This window comes from Homo sapiens, chromosome 16, assembly GCF_000001405.40.
Source record: "Homo sapiens chromosome 16, GRCh38.p14 Primary Assembly".
NCBI lineage: Eukaryota > Metazoa > Chordata > Mammalia > Primates > Hominidae > Homo > Homo sapiens.
Window position 1 is genome coordinate 35,314,265 of NC_000016.10, and position 20,311 is coordinate 35,334,575.

The 20,311-nt window shown below is 39.8% G+C and overlaps 2 long non-coding RNA genes across 4 annotated transcripts; one reads left to right on the top strand and one right to left on the bottom strand.

Annotated features, from left to right (window-relative positions):
• Nucleotides 1-4,766: 4,766 nt before the first annotated feature.
• LOC105371199 (uncharacterized) lies at nucleotides 4,767-13,447 on the bottom strand. 2 transcript variants are annotated; one of them, XR_942153.1, is made up of 4 exons: nucleotides 12,964-13,447; nucleotides 10,917-11,089; nucleotides 8,610-8,818; nucleotides 4,767-7,510 (listed from the first exon to the last, which is right to left on the bottom strand). It is a non-coding gene; the product is annotated as an uncharacterized LOC105371199 (long non-coding RNA). The 2 variants fall into 2 exon arrangements; XR_942154.1 differs by lacking the exon at nucleotides 10,917-11,089.
• LOC105371198 (uncharacterized) lies at nucleotides 13,203-19,629 on the top strand. 2 transcript variants are annotated; one of them, XR_942152.1, is made up of 4 exons: nucleotides 13,203-13,285; nucleotides 13,969-14,164; nucleotides 16,823-17,060; nucleotides 19,376-19,629. It is a non-coding gene; the product is annotated as an uncharacterized LOC105371198 (long non-coding RNA). The 2 variants fall into 2 exon arrangements; XR_007065189.1 differs by having other exon boundaries at nucleotides 16,956-17,060.
• The last annotated feature ends 682 nt before the right edge of the window (nucleotides 19,630-20,311 follow it).

Below are 20,311 nucleotides of genomic sequence, written 5' to 3' on the forward strand. Positions count from 1 at the left end.
ACTTCTGTGTGCGAATCTTTCTTGGTGGATCAATAGGGAGGTGAAGTCTTTGGCATACCCTCAAACCCAGCTTGTGAGATTGCAATCCCAGTGAAGTTGGGACAAGTTGGCACTGCTCGACCAGGCCACCCAATACACCATGTCCCTTTTCCACCACAGCTGGCCCTGGATGGGGGTGTGGACTCCCATAGAGTCTAGAGGATGGGACCCTAACCAGTAGTGGTGCTGGTGTGTGGCATGAAGGGAGCTAGGGGAGGCCCTCCAGGTGGGAGGAGGAGCCAGCCTCTCTTGTGGGACCCTGGGCAAGTCACTGCCATCTTTGGGCCACCGTTTCCTCATCTGGAGAATGCAGGAAGTCTGTTGTGCAGGCCTTTCAGGGTCATGATAAGGTGCAACGGAGGAAGGAAATTTGAGAGTTCTTGTGCCTACCTCTTCCTGAGAGGGATGATGGTGAGAACAGTGGTGATAGCCACATGCAACTGGGTCCTCAGGAGGCCCTACGAGGAAGGTGTTCCCACCACATTGAAATGCCTAACCTTGTTTTTACTCTAACTGGCTACTTTGAATTTTATCCTGTTTGGCTCTTTAATCACCTAGCCTTGCTTCTCATGTAAATAAGACTCTCTCTAGCTGGGAAAGCTGGTCGAACTCCAATTGACCCCTTAATTTACAAGACACTAAGGGCTCCTTACCCAACCCCCTTCCGCAAGGAGTTGACCTGTGTTAAGCAGATCCTCAGCATTTCAAAGGAGCCCAATTAACTGATAAGGTACTGGCACCAACAGTGTATGAAGTTCCCAGGATTTTTCTCAAAGGGACAACAACATAAAACCTTGAGTTCTTGTCCGGCATAGCACCTATATCTAATTATAATGAAGGATTTAGAGCCCTGCACCTGGTACTGTTGCTCTTTTTGTAACCATTTGTCTTTTAAATTGTTTATCTCTTTGTAACCGTTTGTTTTTTTGATACTTGCATGTTTTTACTTCTATAGAATTATTGCATTTGAGTTCCCCTCACCTTCCTAAACCTAGGTATAAAAGTTAATCAAGCTCCTTCCTTGGGGCGGAGAAAATTTTGAGCGTTAGCCATCTCTTTGGCCGCCGGCTTAATAAAGGACTCTTAATTCATCTCAGAGTGTGGCGCTTTCTCTAACTCGTTGGGTATAACAACACTTCTCAGGTGAGGAAACAGTCTCAGGGAGGCCCAGGTGCATGCCCGAGGTTACACACGCAGTGAATGTTGGATCTGGAAGTAAATCTAGAATCCAGGCCTACTGGAGGTGGTAGAAGCATTGCACCAGCTGACTAAGGCAGTTATCAATGATCTGAGGTTGGTGGGGCTGGGTTGTAACTTGGTGAGGGAAGCACAGTCTCACTGCCCCTGTTTCTGACTCTGCTAATTAGGGACATTTTTAGAGAGTCCAGATGGGGCTTCAGCAGCAGGTGAGTGGACCTGTGGACAGAATGGGCACCAGGGAGTCAAGGACAGGGCTTCTCCCTCCCAGCTGGAGTTCTCCACATCAAGAGAGCACAGTGTCTTCCTCCTCTGGCCCTACCCTCCTGTGGACACAGTGCTTGGAATGCCTTCATTAGAGAGACCAGAGAAAGAGCCTGGGAGAGCTGGGCTCAGAGTAGATTTGGGGAAGAGTGAGGCTGGGGAAGACTGACTTTGTGACTTATTGAAATCTCACCATAGAGATAACTAGAAGGTGCTTGGTGTCTTTGTAGGCCAGCTGTGGAAAGAGAAGGGAAAGATTTTGGGTAAGGAAGCTGAGGGTCCTTGGAGGCTCCAAGTAGGAGATTGGGTAGGGGGGTCAAGGAGACATGGGTTGGTGACAGTTCAAAGGACGGGCTTTGTGTGGGAAGCTGAGAATTGGTGCTCATCACTGCTACCACCTTGATGGCACAGGGTGCTGTGCCTTCTGTGGGCATAATTCTCACTGATTTGCTGATGTTGGAAATTGTCCTATAGGATTATATCGATGTGTGTGAGACTGGGGCAGGAAGGGTGGGGGCCAGGATCCTGAAACTTGTGGGGACAGAGTCTTGGACTGAGCCCTGAGATTGCAGCACTCAGCAAACCTCCTTTCCTTAGAACCTGTGATGTCCCTGTGATGGGGGTGTCTGGCCTATCTTTTCTATGAGTAACGGAGACTCCATCAAAGACTACTCCTTGAGTAGTGAAGCTGCAGAACTGAGTCTCAGCCTCTGCCTTTCATGGTATCCATTGGAGAAGACAGAAACTGGGCCCCTCCTAAGACAGGCAGTTCCTAAGTGGTTGAGTACCTTCTTTGTTTCCAAGGCCTCAGTTTCCCTGTCTGTCATGACAGAGAATCAGGGTAAACGGTCACTGAGCCTCAAGTCCCTTCTGTAGAGCCCAAAACCTGATGCATGTCCAAATCCTGGTTTGTGCACATGCCCTGACCCTGGCGGCCCTGGAGGTGGTGCAGCATAGAAAGTATAGGGGATGAAGGCTAGTTGTGGGCCAGGGTGCCTTTCTGATAGACCTTGGCTGTCTACCTTTTAGGAAAATATAATCAACACTAATAAAGGAGGAAGGTGAGCAGGTGGGGCCCTAGCCTTGAGGGAAGGTGTGGATGTGAAAGTCAGAGACCACCCTGGGGAGGACACTCACTGGCTCCATCTTCTGCATCTTAGATTTACTGGGAAGGTTTGATACACAGAGAAGGAGGATACCCATGCCAATGGAGAGTTTGATTAGAGGACTAGAATCAGTGATAAATTCCTAGAGAAGGGACTGTTTATATCTAACTCTGAGAACAGGTTGGTTCTACCTGGAATTGGAGGGGAGGGTGGGGCCCCTTAAAAGAAAAGTCCCAGAGACTGGCCCCTTCTCCCTCCCTCCCCAGCAAGCTCCCTTTATTATCTTCCACCCAGGACCTGTCAGAATCCTGCCCTTCCTTTGGTCTCCAGATCTAAGTCCCCCAAGAAATGCAGGTGCTTCAGTGAGAAGAGATCATTATCTTCTTCCAACTGAGGAGGAATTTGGGGTTTGGTTCTAGTCCATGGTGTGACACAGTCAGAATAAAAAGTGAGGGGCTAGCAGATTAGCCAAGGGTAGGAGAGGACTCTATTGTGTAGCCAGCTTCAGAGAGCCTGTGGCCATGGCTCCCTGGTCAACTTTAGGACCTGTTGCATGGGGAGCCCTGGGTAGGCAGTGGGAAGCCTGAGGTGTGGCTCCTGGTAGCCTCACAGCTGCCACTATTTCCTGAAGCTCCTACTTGTCCTGTCAGCTGAGCCCCCATCCCAGTAGGCCAGCAACATTCTCAAGACCAAGAACAGGCCATGGTGAATCTCAGGGCCACTGAGTGCCTGGGCTGGCAGAAGCAGAGTGCCTCAGGGCTTATTGACATTTGGGCTGAGCATGGGCTTTGGGAGTCAGACAGCTGCACTGGGCTCTGAGCTGCACCGTGACCAGCTCTGTGTCTGGGGCAGGGGCCTCACTTTTCTGGAACTTGAGACATCATAGTCATAAATTTAACACACCCTTCTAAATGCTTTTTCTTTTGTATCTATATTTCTCTATAATCCTCATGTACTACTGATCAGGTTATTTAAATTAATAAACATGTTTACAGTGTATATTATTCTTCCTCATGATTTCTTTACTATACTGTATGGTTCCACTCATACGAGGTACTTATGGTTGTTCCATTCTCAGAAACACAAAGTAGAAGAGTAGTTTCCAGGGTAAAAAGGAAGGTAAAGGGCGATTCTTGTTTAACAGAAACAGAGTTTCAGTTTTGCAAAATGAATAAAAATCCCTATGAATGTGGATGATGGTTGCAGAACAATGTGAGTGTGATTAATTCCTTTGACCTGCACATTAAAAATTGTTAAAATAGTTAATTTTATGTATATTTTACCAAAAAGTATGAAAGGACTTTTAAAAATGAGCAGAGTATAGATATCTGCAACAGCATAAATGGATATCAAAAATATAATCCTGCATTTAAAAATTGATGTAAAACTATCCATACCATATAATACCATTTGTATTAAATCCAAAAATCAAAACTGAGGTTCCGGCTTCCACTAATGGTGAAGTAGCTAGTTTAACTAACACTCTCACAAAGAAAAATGATGAATACTGAATAAAATAGTATGTATCATTATAAAACTTCTATATATAATACATACATGAGATATGTGTGTATAAGAAGTGAATGAGGATGTCCCTTGTGCCATCCATAGAAGAGATAAGCATTGAAATTAGAATCCAGCCCAATCAACACGCTCTTTAAAAATCAACACCCTTCAATGGGACACAACAGAATCCAGAGTCTCTATAACTCTTCTATACAGTCTGTAGTGCACAATTTTCAAATTCATGAGATGGGTGAAGACACATGAAAATGTAATACATACACAAGATAAAAAGCAGGCAGTAGACATTTCCAAAATGTCTGAGACATAATCAGCAGACAAAAATTTGAAGGCAGAGCCTGGGTGCGGTGGCTCATGCCTGTAACCCCAGCATTTTGGGAGGCTGAGGCAGGTGGATCATGAGGTCAGGAGATTGAGACCATCCTGGCTAACATGGTGAAACCCCGTCTCTACTAAAAATACAAAAAATTAGCCAGGCATGGTGGAATGCATCCGTAGTCCCAGCTACTCAGGAGGCTGAGGCAGAAGAATCACTTGAACCCGGGAGCAGATGTTGCGGTTAGCCAAGATCGCACCACTGCACTCCAGTCTGGGTGAAAGAATGAGACTCCGTCTAAAAAAAAAAATAATTTGAAGGCAGCTATTATAAGTATGCTCATGGTGACAAAGGAAAGTATTCTTACAAATGAACAAATGTGGAAACTCAGCAAAGAAATGAAAAATACCCAAATATAAAAATAAGAAATAAAAATAATAATTTGAGCTTATGTATAGATCAGAAACAGAAGACACAGCAATAGAAATTATCCAATCTGAAGATACAATTTGAAAAGTTTTAAAAAGTTTAAGGAAAATGAACAGAGCCTTACAGACCTGTGGGATGACTGAGTTTGAGAAAAGGGGAGAGATAGAAAAACTTAAATGGGGTACAAAAGTAAATCTACAAAATTTAAAGAAAATAAACTGAGCCATAGAGACCTGTGAAATGACTGAGTCTGAGAAGGAGAAGAGTGAGAGAGAAGAATTAAATGGGGTATAAAAGTAAATCAACAACTAATATGAAAACTCTCAAAAATTGTTCAAAAAATAAATGTGTATTTATTACACATAATACTAATTACAAAGGTCCACAAACCCCTCTGGATAGGGCTTTTGGGAGGGCCTCATAGCAAATGGTCTTTTTCCTTTTGATTACTCATCAGTGCCTGAACCATAAGGCACAAGCAATATGCACCTCATCAGGAGAGCTCATGACAGCAGCAAAGGAAGCAGAAGCTCAGAAAAGAGAAGGCCACTGTTCTTGCTTGCATGACAGTAGCACTTGTTAGAGCAACTGAGTGACATGCATAATTCTTTCTAAAGTGAAAGTCTCTTTTGTTTCTGCAGTTTTACAAAAGACTATCCCTGGGCCTGTCCTGAGAGTGTGCAATAATAAACAATGTTCAGATGACTACCCAGGCATTTAGTAATGATAACCAGATCAGATGAAGTGATCACAGGGATATAGCCGGACTCTTGGAAATCAGGACTGAAGTGCTGACGGATTAAGGTGCTGTGTTTTCACTGCCTTGACAGGCAGCAAACTGCCTGCCAAACACAGGCTAAACCTGACTACACATCAGGTTGGAAAAGAGTCAATTGACCATTTATGTCTAGGTGATGAGTGTGCTTTAGTGTGGGCAGGGAAGGCAACTCTTGATAAAGGCCCCAAACTGCTTTTTAGACCAAAGCAAAAGCCTACCAGCAGTTGGTGCTTCTGACTGAGGTGGGTTTTAATGTATTATGAAACCAGTAGGCCAAAAGCAGTTACAGTTGAGCAGCTGTCCTCAGTTATGGGTGGTTAATCCAGTTTGTGTTGTGAATTGTTTGAGGGAAAAATTACCACCCTAGGGCTACTGGAGCAGTTAAAATCATGGCACCACTCACTGGACTAATGAGATTGACAGCAGTTATTCATTACATATAATCATGGAAAGAGGGAATTATGTAAGGTAAATAGACCCACACAGGGATTGCTCTTGGGAGCAGAGAGAACAAACAGGAGTTGTCCGGGGAAGGCTCTGTAGTATCAAGGGATGAGATGCTCCTGGTTCCCACAGGAGGTTGTTATTGGTTTGTCTGAATAATTCTGCGATCTTGGGGGAAACTGAAACACATTACCCTACCAACTGCTAAGACTACAATAACATTCTATAATAGTATAATGCAGTAATGTACTATATACTATAATACTAATTACAGTATATTCTCACTTTATTGATAGGTTCTTGGAAACTGACTTTAAGTGAAACAAAATACTACATACCATAGGAAGTTAACTCTTGTTTGTATCAATTAACCAATGGTAAAATTGGTTTTATTATATAGTACATTGTTTTACTTAAAGTGTCAGTTTCCAAGAATCTATCAATGACATTAAGTGAGCACTTACTGAACATGTATTTTAGTGATGTGTAATAGAAAGCAGCTATATAAAATATACTATATAAAGTATACTATTCATGTACAAAACTACATGTGCCACACATTACAGTCATGAACCACATAACAATGTTCTAGTAATGGACAGACCATATATATATAACCTTGTTTTGTCATGAGTAGGTATATGTAAACCTATCTTTAAAGGCCAAGGATGTTGAAAGGTTGAAGAAAGAGGCTGACAGTTTCTCAGAAGGAAACATTTAAGAGGGACTTACAAATAGAAGCTATGTCTCAGATGGCTGAAGATGGTGGATCCCCGCACTGTTACCTCCTAAACCCAGACACTTATCACAGGAAAGTAATGTGTAGGACAATTGAAATCACTATATAAATTTGCCTAAGGGTAGGATTAATGCTAAGTACCTTTTCACAATAACATCAAGGCTGTTTTGACTTAAGAGTAGGGCTTACAGAAACAGTAGGTTTCAATATATAATATAGGTACTTGAACCCCCCCAAAATTAGAGAAAGTACCCATGTTATAATTTTAATTTTTTATTTGGTAATTTAAAATCTTAAAGTCTTGTTATGATAAGTAATTTTAAGTTTCTCACTAAAAATTAGCATTGCTAGGCATTAAACTAATAGTTTGAGGAAAGTTTTTGCCCCAGCACCAGTGAGTGGAAAATAGAACTCCAGGCTTCACCCCTTTGGGTCCTGAGTGACTGAAGATGTGAACCAACTCATATATGGCCAAATGAGGACAGAGTGAAAAGTTTCTAGCTGCAGCTATTTTCAGGCAGGACTTCCTCCTTATGCTATATATGAGGCTAGGCATGGTGGAGCTCACCTGTAATCCCAGCACTTTGGTAGGCTGAGGGGGGAGGAGCTCTTGAAACCAGGAGTTCAAAACCAGCTTGGTCAATATAATGTTAGCACCATACCCTTCACCTTTTCTATAAAGAAATGAAAAAATTAGCCAGGAATAGTCGCGTGTGTCTGTGGCCCCAGCTACTTGGGAGGCAGAGGTGGGAGGGTCATTTAAGCCTAGGAGGTAGAGGCTGCAGTGAGCTGAGATCAGGCCACTGCATTCCAGCCTGGGTGACAGAGGGAGATCTGCTTTCTCTTTCTCTCCCTCACTCTGTGTGTGTGTGGAGGGAGGGATGTGTGTGGGTGAGTGTGTGTGTGTATTATTCAAGATGAAAACAACATAATGACAATTATTTCTATTTTTATTTTTTTGAGACAGAATCTCACTCTATCACTTAAGCTGGAGTAGAGTGGTGCAATCTCTACTCACTGCAACATCTGCCCCCCAGATTCAAGCAATTCTTCTGTCTCAGCCTCCTGAATAGCTGGGATTACAGGCGCCTGCCACCTCGCCTGTCTAATTTTTGTATTTTTAGTAGAGAAAGGATTTTGCCATGTTGGCCAGGCTTGTTCTGAACTCCTGTGCTCAAGTGATCCACCTACCTTGGCCTCCCAAAGTGCTGGGATTACAGGCGTGAGCCACAGCACTGGCCAATGACAATAATTTTTAAATTTTAGATTTTACAATCTTTCTGGCCTCTTGGCTTTTGAGGAAGACTGAGCTTTGCAAATAGGTGACCCTCTATTGCAGCAATGTGTAACAGAAGTAAAATGTGAGCCATGTGTATCAATTAAAATTTTGTAGTAGCAGCATAAAGAAAAAGAAAAATGAGTAAAATTGATTTTGATAACCCAATATATCCAAAATATTTTAACATATAATCAGAATTAAATTATTTAAGATATATATATATATAACTAAATCTTTAAAATACTTTCTTGTATTTTTCCCCATCATATATCAGTTCATACTGTATACAATACAGGTGCTCGGTAACCCCCTGTGGTCAGTGGCTGCCACATTGCAAGTGCATCTCTGAGAGCTCTGACTTTTCTGACCTTAGGGAGGTAAAGGGCCTGAATTCTCCTTTTCTGCCAGATGGGAGGGAATGCCCCTTCTCTGCCAATATCTCTCCTGTTTCAAGGGTAAGAGAGGTGGCACCCTGAGAGATGGATGGGGCGTACCAGAAACAAGTGTTCACAGGTAGATCACTGCTATTCACTGCTTCTTGGTGTGGACTCATCACTCCTCCAGAGATCAGGCAGCAGTCCAAACAAGATTGGGCTCCAGAAGGGAAAACTTCATGGTTTTAGATCAGTCCATAGCCTTGACTTCCAGAACTTAGATGTCAAAAGAATGGATTAAAGGCAAACTTTTTATCTTGCAATTTGGCCTTGGCAAATTAAAATAGAAAGAAATAAAAACATGTCACCATAAATACCAATTAAACACAAAGGAAGGGAATAAGAACAAAAAATAGGATAAAATAGCCACATCAAACAAATAGAACTATTAACAAAATGGAAATAGTCCATTCTTTCCAGAATTAAAATGAATATATACATGGAGTAAAATTTCCAATAAAAATACATACATTGGCTAAAGAGATTAAAAAAAAAACAAGATTTATTTTTTGCTATCTATAAGAAACTCACTTTAGATCTAAGCAAACAGATAGGCTAAAAATGGCAGTATGAAAAATACTTTGTAGGAAAATTGCAATCAAATGACAGCAAGAGGGGTCATAATTTTGCAAAATACACATTAAGTCAAAACTGATATAAGAGACAAAGAAAGATATGATATAATGACAAAAGAGTTGATTCACTGGGGAAGTTGTATTAATAATAAATATATGCACACTTCACATCATGGTTCCCAGACATGTAAAGCTAACATTGACACAAATGAAGAAAGAAACAGCTATGCAAAAATAGTAAGAGACATAATTACCCCACTATCAGTAATGAATAATAAAGCCAGACAGAATGTTAACATGAAAACAGAGGATTTGAATAACACTGCAAACTGTGTAAACCTAAAAGACATTTAGAAAACACTAGTTACAGTGAAAAGAAGTAAAAAAGAAAAAAGAAAAAAACACTCCACACAACAACATCAGAATACACAATCTTTTCAATAGGTCATGAAACATTCTCCTGGGTAGATGACCTACTAGGATGCAAAACAAGTTTTACTAAATTTTAAAATATTAAAATATGGGCCAGACATGGTAGCCCATACCTATAATTGCAGCATTATGGGAGGCTGAGGTTGGAGGATTGAGTGAGTTTAGGAGTTCAAGGCTAGCCTGGGCAACATAGGGAGACCCTGTCTCTACAAAATATAAAATAAAAATAATTAGCTGGGCATGCCTGTGCTTCCAGATACTAATGAGGCTGAGGTGGGAGGATTTATTGAGCCTGGGAGATCAAGGCTGTGGTTAGCCATCATTGAGCCACTGTGCTTCAGCCTGAGCAACAGAGCAAAACCCTGTCTCAAAAAAAAATTAAAGTATTACAAACTGTCAGTTTTGATTAAAAGGAAATAGTATTAGAAATTAAGAGCAGAAAAAATACTGGAATATCTACAAACATGTGGAAATTAACACACTCTTGAGCAGTTCTTCTTCAATGGTTGGAAGACAGTATTGTGAAGACGTCCACAGTACCCAAAGTGATCTACACATTCAATGCAATCTCCATCAAATATTAACTGCCTTTTCAATGTGCAGAAATACAAAAACATTTCTAAAACTCATATGGACTCTAAACGGACTATAAAAAGCCAAACAATCTTCAAAAAAAGAAATTATATTGGAGGCATCACACTCCTTGACTTCATAATGTGTTAGAAAACTATAGTAACCAAACCATTTGGTACTGGCATAAAGGCAGACAGACAGACCAATGGACCGGAATAAGGCACAGAAATAAACTCATATATATGACCAAATGAAGAGTTATTTGTATATCCATATTCATTGCAGCATTATTCACAAAGGCTGACAGGTGGAAGCAACCCAAATGTCCCTCAGTGAATAAACGGATAAAGACAATTTGGAATATACAAATAATGGAATATTATTCACCTTTGGAAAAGCAGGAGATCTGATTATTTTTACACTAAGGATAAATCTTGAGGACATTACGTAAGTAAAATAAACTAGTCACAAAAAGACAGACACTGTAATTCCAGCTAAATAAGAAATCTAAAGTAGTTAAACTCCTAGAAACGGAAAGTAGAATAGTATTAGTCAGAGCCTTAGGGGAGGAGATAAAGGGATAGTTGTTGTTTTATGATTATTGAGTTTTAGTTTTGCAGCATAAAAACATCCTAGAGATATGTTATATATCAAAGCAAATACATTTAATAATATTTAACTATGTACTTAAAATATTTAAGATGGTAAATTGTACATGTTTTTGACACATTAAAATTGAAAAAACTTCTAAACAGAAACATATTTATAAACATTTTCCAAAAATTACCTTCAAATCATAAAAATAACATAAAAACAATAAAGACACCAGGTGCAGTGGCTCATCTATGTAATCCAAACACATCAGGAGTCTGAGGAGGGAGAATATCTTGAGGCCAAAAGTTGGAGACCAGCCTGGGCAACATAATAAGCTCTCATCTACAGGTCACAAGCAGAAGAAAACTGGCAAACGAAAAAATATATCAAACTTAAAACAGCACACACTTGACCTTGTGTTCAAGGGACAGAAAACCTAATATTGTTAAGATGTCAATACTACTCACAGTGAAGCAGAAATTTGAAGTATTTTCTATCAAGACCCCAATGCTACATTTTTTGCAAAAATATTAAGTCCTAAAATTCATATAATATCTCAAGGCCAGGCTGGAAGGGATGCTGAGAATTTTTTTGCATAAATATTGTTTTAACTCCTAAAACTCATATGGAATATCAAGGGACAATGAGTAGCCAAAATAGCTTCAGAAAAGAACAAAGTTAGAGGTATCACACTTCCTGATTCCAAAACATATTACAAAACTATAGCAATACAAATAGAAAGACAAATAAATGATGGGACAGAATAGAGAACCCAGAAATAAACTTTCATGAATATCATAAAATAATTTTTAATCAAGTTTCCATGACCAAACAACAGGGAAAGAACAGACTCTTTAACAAATAGTGTTGTAAAACTGAATATCAAAATAGAAGAAAATAAAATTGGACTTTTTACTTGCACCATAGATAAAAATGTCTTAAATGAATTAAACACTTAAATGTAAGTAAGATAGCTATACAACTCTTAAAATAAAACATAGAATAAACAATTATGACATTTTTCTTGGTAATTTTTTAAACACGACATTAAAAGCGGAAGTAACAAGAATAAAAACAGAAAAATCGGACTATATCAAGTGACATAAGCTTTCTGGACATCAAAAAAACATTGAATGGAGTAAAAATGCTGAATGGATAAAAAATCCCAAATTATATATTTGATAGAAGATAATACCCAGAATCTATAAACAACTTCTACAACTCAACAACATAAGGTGAATAACCCTATTTAAAAATGGGCAAAATGCTCAACAGATGATTTTACAAAGCAGACATACAAATGGTCAAGAGGAATTTGAAAAGATGCTCAAAACCACAAATCTTTATAGAAATAAAAAGCAAAACCCCAATGAGATATTACCTCACACTCATTAGGATGGTCACTATCAAACAAGAAAAAATAACAAATGTTTTCAAGGATGTAGAGAAATTGGAACATTGTGCACTGGTGGTGAAAAAAATAATAATGCAGCCATTATGAAGAATAGTAGAGAACTTCCTAAGAATATTAAAAATGGAATTATCATATGATCTAGCAACCCCATTTCTGAATATCTATCTAAATATGCAAAGCAGGACCTGAAAGAATCATTTGCATCCTGCTGAATCAAATGAAAGTTTTATCTCTGTCAGATGAATCCACACATCACAAAGCAGTTTCACAGACAGCTTCTTTCTAGTTTATATCTTTTTTTTTTTTTTTTCTGGAGACGGAGTCTCACATTGTTGCCCAGGCTGGAGTGCAGTGGCATGATCTCCACTCACTGCAAGCTCCGCCTCCCGGGTTCACGCCATTCTCCGGCCTCAGCCTCGCAAGTAGCTGGGACTACAGGCGCCCGCCACCACGCCCGGCTAATTTTTTTGTATTTTTAGTAGAGATGAGGTTTCACCGTGTTAGCCAGGATGGTCTCAATCTCCCGACCTCGTGATCTGCCCTCCTCGGCCTCCCAAAGTGCTGGGATTACAGGCATGAGCCACCGCGCCTGGCCCACCTGCTTCATTCTTATTCCGCATCACTCAGTCGAAGCCACCATCACTTCCACCTGACCTGCGAAAAAGGCTCCTCGTTTCCATATTTGCCCTCTTTAGAATTAATTCTCCATAAAGCAACTGGAAAAAGCTTTTAAACATATGAATCTGATTGTGCCTCTTGCTGAAAACCCTCCAATGACTTCTCACCGCATGGGAAATGAAATCACAGTCAAGTTTACATATCTCACCGGAACTCTGCGACTTCATGTCCTCCCTTTGCATTCTGCACCCCATGCCCTCTGCCACTGGTCTCTGGTTCCTCAAACGCACCCTGTTCACTCCCATTTCAGGGCCATTGCTCAACAGAATTCCCTGCCTGGAATTTTCTTCCTCAGAATCTTTGCATGTCATTCCCTCTATTGCGAGGTTACTGGGATCACAATGTAAACGTTATGTCCTGACAGAGGCTACTGTGAGCTGAATCGTGTGCTTCCCAAAATTCATATGTTGACACCTTAACACTCAGCACCTAAGGATGTGACTATATTTGGAGATAGTGTCATCACAGAGGTAATTACGTTAAAATGAGGTCTTTGGGAGCAGAGGTTGGGGAATCAGGAGTTGGTCAAATTATACAAAATTTCAGTTAGACAGGAAGAATAAGTGCAAGAGATCTATTGCACTTGGTGACTACAGTTAATTTATTCTATTCTTTTTTTTTTTTTTTTTTTGAGACGGAGTCTCGCTGTCGCCCAGGCTGGAGTGCAGTGGCGCAATCTCGGCTCACTGCAGGCTCCGCCCCCTGGGGTTCACGCCATTCTCCTGCCTCAGCCTCCCGAGTAGCTGGGACTACAGGCGCCCGCCACCTCGCCCGGCTAATTTTTTGTATTTTTAGTAGAGACGGGGTTTCACCGTGTTAGCCAGGATGGTCTCGATCTCCTGACCTCGTGATCCGCCCGCCTCGGCCTCCCAAAGTGCTGGGATTACAGGCGTGAGCCACCGCGCCCGGCCAATTTATTCTATTCTTGCACATTGCTAAGAAAGTAGATTTTGAGTGTTCTCACAACAAAAAAAGATGGGTGTGTGAGGTAACGCATATGCCAACTAGCTTGGGTTAACCATTTCACAATGTGTGCATATTTCAAAACAGTACCATAAATGTAGACAATCATTATCAGTTACAATAAAAAAGTTTATAAAATGAGGACCTTAGGGTGGGCCCTAATTCAATTTAACTGATGTATCCATGAAAGAGGAGATAAGGATACAGATGTGCACACAGAGAAACAGCCATGTGAGGACACAAGGAGAAGGCAGCCACTTACAACCCCAGGAGAGAGGCCTTGGAAGAAACCCACCTTGCCCACACCTTGATCTTGGACTTCACCCTCCTTCATCAATTGGAAGCTGCTGATCCTGAATACTTTCCAAATGCTGGATGGTACAGAGGTGAGGGGACAGCACAGACCTCAGGGTGAAATGTTGGGGATAGAAAACATTGCTGTTTTCTATCCCCAACAGACACCTGTGCCAGTCTTTATTGGTGTTTTGTATTCCCCTTTCCTGTGGATAGTGTAATTTTAAAATTTTTGTTTACATAGAAGATAACATAAAAGTAAACAATAAAATTTAAAAAAAGAGGAAAACTCAAATAATAGTGTTTGGGGAGGGTGACAGTGAAGGTGGGAGGGTCACATAACAATGGAGGTGGAGTCTTTTGACTCCATCAATGTCCTGTTGTGTTTGTGTATCAGAACCTATAGTAGCAATTGTCAGGTTACGTGTTTTTGTCCTTGCCTGCTCCTTAAGTGCCAGAGGGGATTATTCTAAATTGGGTGAGGAACAGGTAGAGAAGTGTAAGTGAGACAAACTTGCCTGCCATTTGCCACAGTGGCAGGGCAGAATTCATCATGAGTGCCTCTACCCTCTGATGTCCAAAAAGTTTAACTCTGTAGGTAATTTTTATTGGCTGCCAATTTAGAAGCATCTGCCTTCATGCTCCTGTCTAGAATGGTAACATCTCTCTGCCAGGAGCTGATAAAATCCCCAATATCCCATAGTCCTGTTTTCCAGTTAAGATTCACGGGGACTATGTGGGCAGATTTACATAGTTCACTTCTTCCAGCAGCCAAGGAATACTTGATATTGTTTTCATTTGAACCCTCTGAGAGAGGGAGTCAGCCTCCACATAGAGGTGCCCCTTAAAGTTTTTGAAACATAGTCTTCCTGACACCACTACTTACACTGATTTGAAAGTCATTGATGAGCTTGCTTTGAAGCTCCTGTAAAACTTAATCCTGACACATCAAGGGCTTGGGACTTCCCAGCTTGATATTCCAATTCTGAAGTGAGTAAATTTGAGTTCTCCAAGACATCAGAATGCCACATAGAATATAACATATTTTAAAGGAAAATTGGACTGTCACAGGAACTTCTTAGCTGTAATAGAAAAATTAGGTTCTTTGGTGAAAACTTTATGCTCCTTGATATGGTTTGGTTGTGTTTCCACCCAAATCTCATCTTGAGTTTTAGCTCCTGTAATTCCCAAGTTTTGTGGGAGGGGTCAGTAGGAGATAATTGAATCATGGGGTCACATTTCCCTATAGTGTTCTGGTGGTAATAAATAAGTCTCACGAGATCTGATGGTTTTATAAGGAGAAACCATTTTTTACTTTACTTTACTCTCATTCTCTCTTCTTTTGTCTGCCACCATGTGAGACATGCATTTCATCTTCTGCCATAATTGTAAGGCCTCTCCAGCACGTAAAACTGTAGGTCCTTTAAAACTCTTTCTTTTGCAAATTGCCCAGTCTCAGGTATGTCTTTATTAGCAGGATTAAAATGAACTAATAGATCCCACTCCACTGTTTAAAGCAAAACTCCTGGCTTTATGGGGTCTTCAATTTACTGAATGTTTTCTAGATGCTTGCCCCTAATTCCCTGATGAGTCAAGAAATCTGCCACCTTAAGGTGCTTACTGGGTGGCTGTGGATGTCTAACCTCAGTGCCAGCCACACAGAACCTGAAGCAGGGGTGGTTGCTCCTCTTAATGGTAAGAGCTCAGGGTTTCGGATCATTGGCCATGTTCTAACTGTTTAATCTTCCACATTGAAACTAAAGGCTATTTGGTAAAGGACATCCTTTATTTGGCTTCAAATCAGAAAGAATTTTAGCTGCTGATTTGTCAGGTAATTCATTTAGGAGTTCGTGGAAAGTGTCTCTTCTCTGAAAATACTAACCACAATTAAGCCAGAAACCAAGCCTGAATCCATGCGTAATGCAGAGGTCACCACTGCATGCCAGACCTGTGCTTCTTACTGAAAGTTGACCTGTTTGTCTCATGGTTTAGAAGGTGACAGACCATTCCTGGCATGATAATTGCATTGGTCTTTGGCTCACTTCCTGAGGTATTGATCATGTCTCACCTTTAGCATAATAGTCAGCTGACTCCAGCCACACCGTGTGTCCCTTGAAGCTCATTCATGTAACCTTTAGGGTTTTGAGGCCACTTGCATTTTAATCAAATTATTATATCTGTCAACATGGCAAACTGTTTGATTTTACTTCCTTTTTTTCTCTGGGTCCACACATGTTGGCTAGGTAATTTGTTGATTGAATGTAACTTTTCCCTTAGCACCCAAAAATCTTTTTCTTGACTGACTCCAAGCTGAAGAGAATATCACTGAGGTCTATAGGCATCCATTTTCAAATGAGATTTCCCACCGAGCATTCCTGGACAAGATGTATCTTTCATTTAGTTAACTGCAACCCCAGGCAAATCTGGTTTTTACATTTTCTGAATGACCGTCCAGCCCAAAGAGGGGTTGTGGTGCTCAACTTAGTTATAGTGAATTTTTATATAGAAGTTCTTGTGTCTATATCACCTCACTCTACCAGAAAAAAATGAAATGACTAGAAAACAGTATGGGTGAGTAGACTAGAAAAAAATGACTACTTAAAGTTATAGGTACTGGAATAGGACACAAAAATTATGTGGATGTAGAGGGAGGACAAAAACCCAAAACCTAAAAATGAACAAATTAGATGCCAGAAACTACAGAAACAGAGGGTCTTTAATAACTTTTTGTCTTTCTGAACTATCCCTAGTGAGGCCCAGAGAAGAGTTGGCGAATCCTGTTGGGCTAGGAGGAGGAATAGGAGTAGTATTAGTTAGACCAAATGGTAGAACAGGACCTGTGGGTTCAGCTTCTCCTGGGAATTCCATCTCTCTGTGATGTAGACCTGGAATCCCAGTGAACATCCTGCATCCTCAGTGGCCAGCTGTCTGAGGCCACAGTTGTTTCTGATGATCGAGGACAAGGAGACTTACCACCCCATGGCTGAGGTAAGCTGGATTCTATAGAGCATTGATTTCATTTTCTCATTCCTCTGTGAGGTGTGGTTCTTTATTTTGTTTTTCATCTTAAGATGAAATTACATTTGTCAATATTTGTGTAAAAAGATATATAAGTCTGGCAACTAGATCCTTAGATGCAGCCCTCAGTGGAAATTTTTGCCTGTTTCTCTTCTCACTTTTATTCAATTATTGGCACAGAGAGATGCCCTGATGTCCTGTCTCTCAGGAGTAATTTGAACATTGTACTTCTAGAGAAGCTGGTGGGACAGGCAAGGCTTCGAGTGAGGATCCAAGCTTCTGTCCAAATCTACCAGTCTATCTGTGTGTGGTAGGTGGATTCAGGAAAGACCCTAGAGCTTTGGAAAAGATCATTAATAGAAAACAAAATCCCTGTAAATTAGAGTACTAGGGCACATATTCATCAGTCACTTACAGAGTCATATGCTCAGGGCTGAGCCTGTGTGGGAGAGCACAGAACAGTCCACGCCTGGGAAAGCCTCTGACCATGTGTGAATGGTGAGGTTCTGCCTCAAGGAGAAGTCCTGTATCTGACAGAACATGATGCTTCTGGGCGTGTGAGATTCAGTGCCCTTCCTCATCAGAGCACCACTGAATGAATAATTGTTTTAGATCAAGCATATGGAAGCCAACTTTATTTTGAATTTCTTAAAGACAGAAACAGAAAACATTTTTACACACTTTCAAATTGAGTAAGAGTGTCAGAAACTTCAGTAAAAAAGTCACAGGAGGAATCTCTGGGGTCTTATTCATCCCCAGGATACAACCTGTAAGAATTCACCTTTAAAAACTTGATTTTTATACCATATAGATTTATCTTTCATTTGACTTTTATTGTATTGCAGGTTATAATTAGCACATTAGTTTTTACCTTTATGATAGAAACATCAGATTCCTAAACTCAAAGCATTAATGGTGCCAACCCAACTGCAGTCTGTACTGCCAATTAACTTTTTGCTATGGCCTGAATTTGTGTCTACTTGTAAAAACTCGTTTGTAAAAATTTAATCCCTAATATGCTAGTTTTAAAACATGGAGGCTTTTGGGAAGTGACTCACTCAGGAGGGCTTCATCTTCATAAATGTAATTAATACCCTGTAATAGAGGTTGAAGGGAGCACACTTTTCCTGGCTGCCACGTGAGGCACAGCAAGAAATACCATTTATGAGAAACAGGACCCTCACCAGACACTGAATTTGCTGGTATTTTGATGTTGAACTTTCCAGCCTCCAGAACAGTGATCAAACATTTCTGTTGTTTATGGATTACTGAGTCTAGTGTATTTTGTTTTAGCAGCCTGAACAAAGGCACTTTCTTATGCACTGTGGTTTATTTTTGAATTTGTGCTTCCACTGAGCTATCCATATATTCATAAATCAACATGTCTCATAGGGTGGCATAGCCACTCTACTTTTTCAGAGTTTTCTCAGCTGTTCTTATTTGTGTTTTTATCTATATGAGTTTTGCAATAAAAAGCCTGCTTCCAATACCAGTTGGTATCTTTAGTGGGACAAAATTAAATATATAAATTACTTCTAAAAATTGATGATTGAGTAATATTGAGATTTTCTACCTTAGAACATGATGTGGTTTTCCATTTGTTTATGCTGATTTTCTTATATTTCAAGGACTTTTTATGGTCTTTCTCATATGCTTTACAAATTTTTGTTAGATTTATGTATAGCTAGTTTATTTTATTTTGTCCTGTTAAAAAGTAAACTGTAGCACAATGCAAATTTTAAAAGTTTTCTTGGCAGAGAATGGTGGTTTATATCTGTGATTCCAGCACTTTGAGAGGCCAAGTTGAGATTACTTGAACCCAGGAGTTTGAAGTCAGCCTGGGAAACATAGTAAGACCCAGTCTCTACATAGAAATAAGAAGAAATTAGCCAAGTGTGGTGGTGCATGCCTGTAGTTGCAGCTACTCATGGGGCTAAGGTGGGAGGATGGCTTTTGCTCAGGATGTAAACCTGTACAGAGCTTTGATTCTGCGTACACATTCCACATGAGCAACAAAGCAAGAACCTGTTTCAAAAAATTTTTCTTGAGTAAGAAGCAACTTATAAATTGTGGAACACCAGAGCAAAAGAGGTTTAGCATTTCAATGGCAAAATGTCAGAGGTAAGATTGCATTGAAAAAAATGAAGTAGCAAATAATAAAATTCTTTGATTTGTTGCAGTTATAAAATTGTATTTTTTGGTTTACTTTATAGATGTATATTACTGTAAGTTTCTTGGGTACGTCTGATAACTTAAGCTTAAGTTCTGTTTTTTTTTTAATACAGGCATTCACAAAAAAATTAGCTCACATTATGTTTTGCTTGTTTGCAAGTCAACAAGAAGAGGTCACTGAGGATGTCTAACTGATTCTGTCCACTCAGGAATGTTTTGGTCTACCCTTTAATTCACTTTAAAAATCATTTTGTAATTTTTATCTCCCATCCAATATGTAAGTTGTCAATTACTTTTATATGTATGCAAACATCCTTTATGTATAATTTCTAGGCATATTACTAGTGAACATTGATTGTTACACAGACGTACCTAGTCTTATTGCACTTTATTGTTCTTTATAGATATTGGATTTCTTACAAATTGAAGGTGTTTTGCAACCTTACATTGAGCGACTCTATTAACACTATTTTTCCAGCATCATGTGATTTTTTTGTGTGTATATCTGTGTCAGCCTTTTTTAGCAATATAGTACATTTTTTGTCAAGGTTTGTACCTTGTTATTAGAAACATAGGCTATTTCAGTCTTATTCTACATTGTAGTGTAAACATGATTTTTATATGCACTGGGAAAGAAGAAAAATTGTGTGACTCACATTATTGTGATATTTATTTTATAGTACCTGTCTAGAGCAAAAGCCATATATCTCCAAGGTATATCTGTATATTTTCATTGAATTGGCTCCATTTACTGGAATGATAAATCACTGTTCTTTGACTAAAACAAGAGTTGTGGGGTGTGAAGGGTCAGGGTGAAAATAAAGCAGAAGTGAAGGTAAAAAGTCCTCTAACTCACACATGGAGTAAATAAAAATTCAGTGTGGATAAAATACAAAATCATCTAAAATTGAATATTCTCAAAAACATTAATGTTTATATCATTATGTATATGAAAATTATGAAGCAGAGAACAAAACAAAATACATTTAGGTGATGAAAGATTTCATAATCTCACTGTAAAATGCAAGATGAAAAATATAAAATGTTAC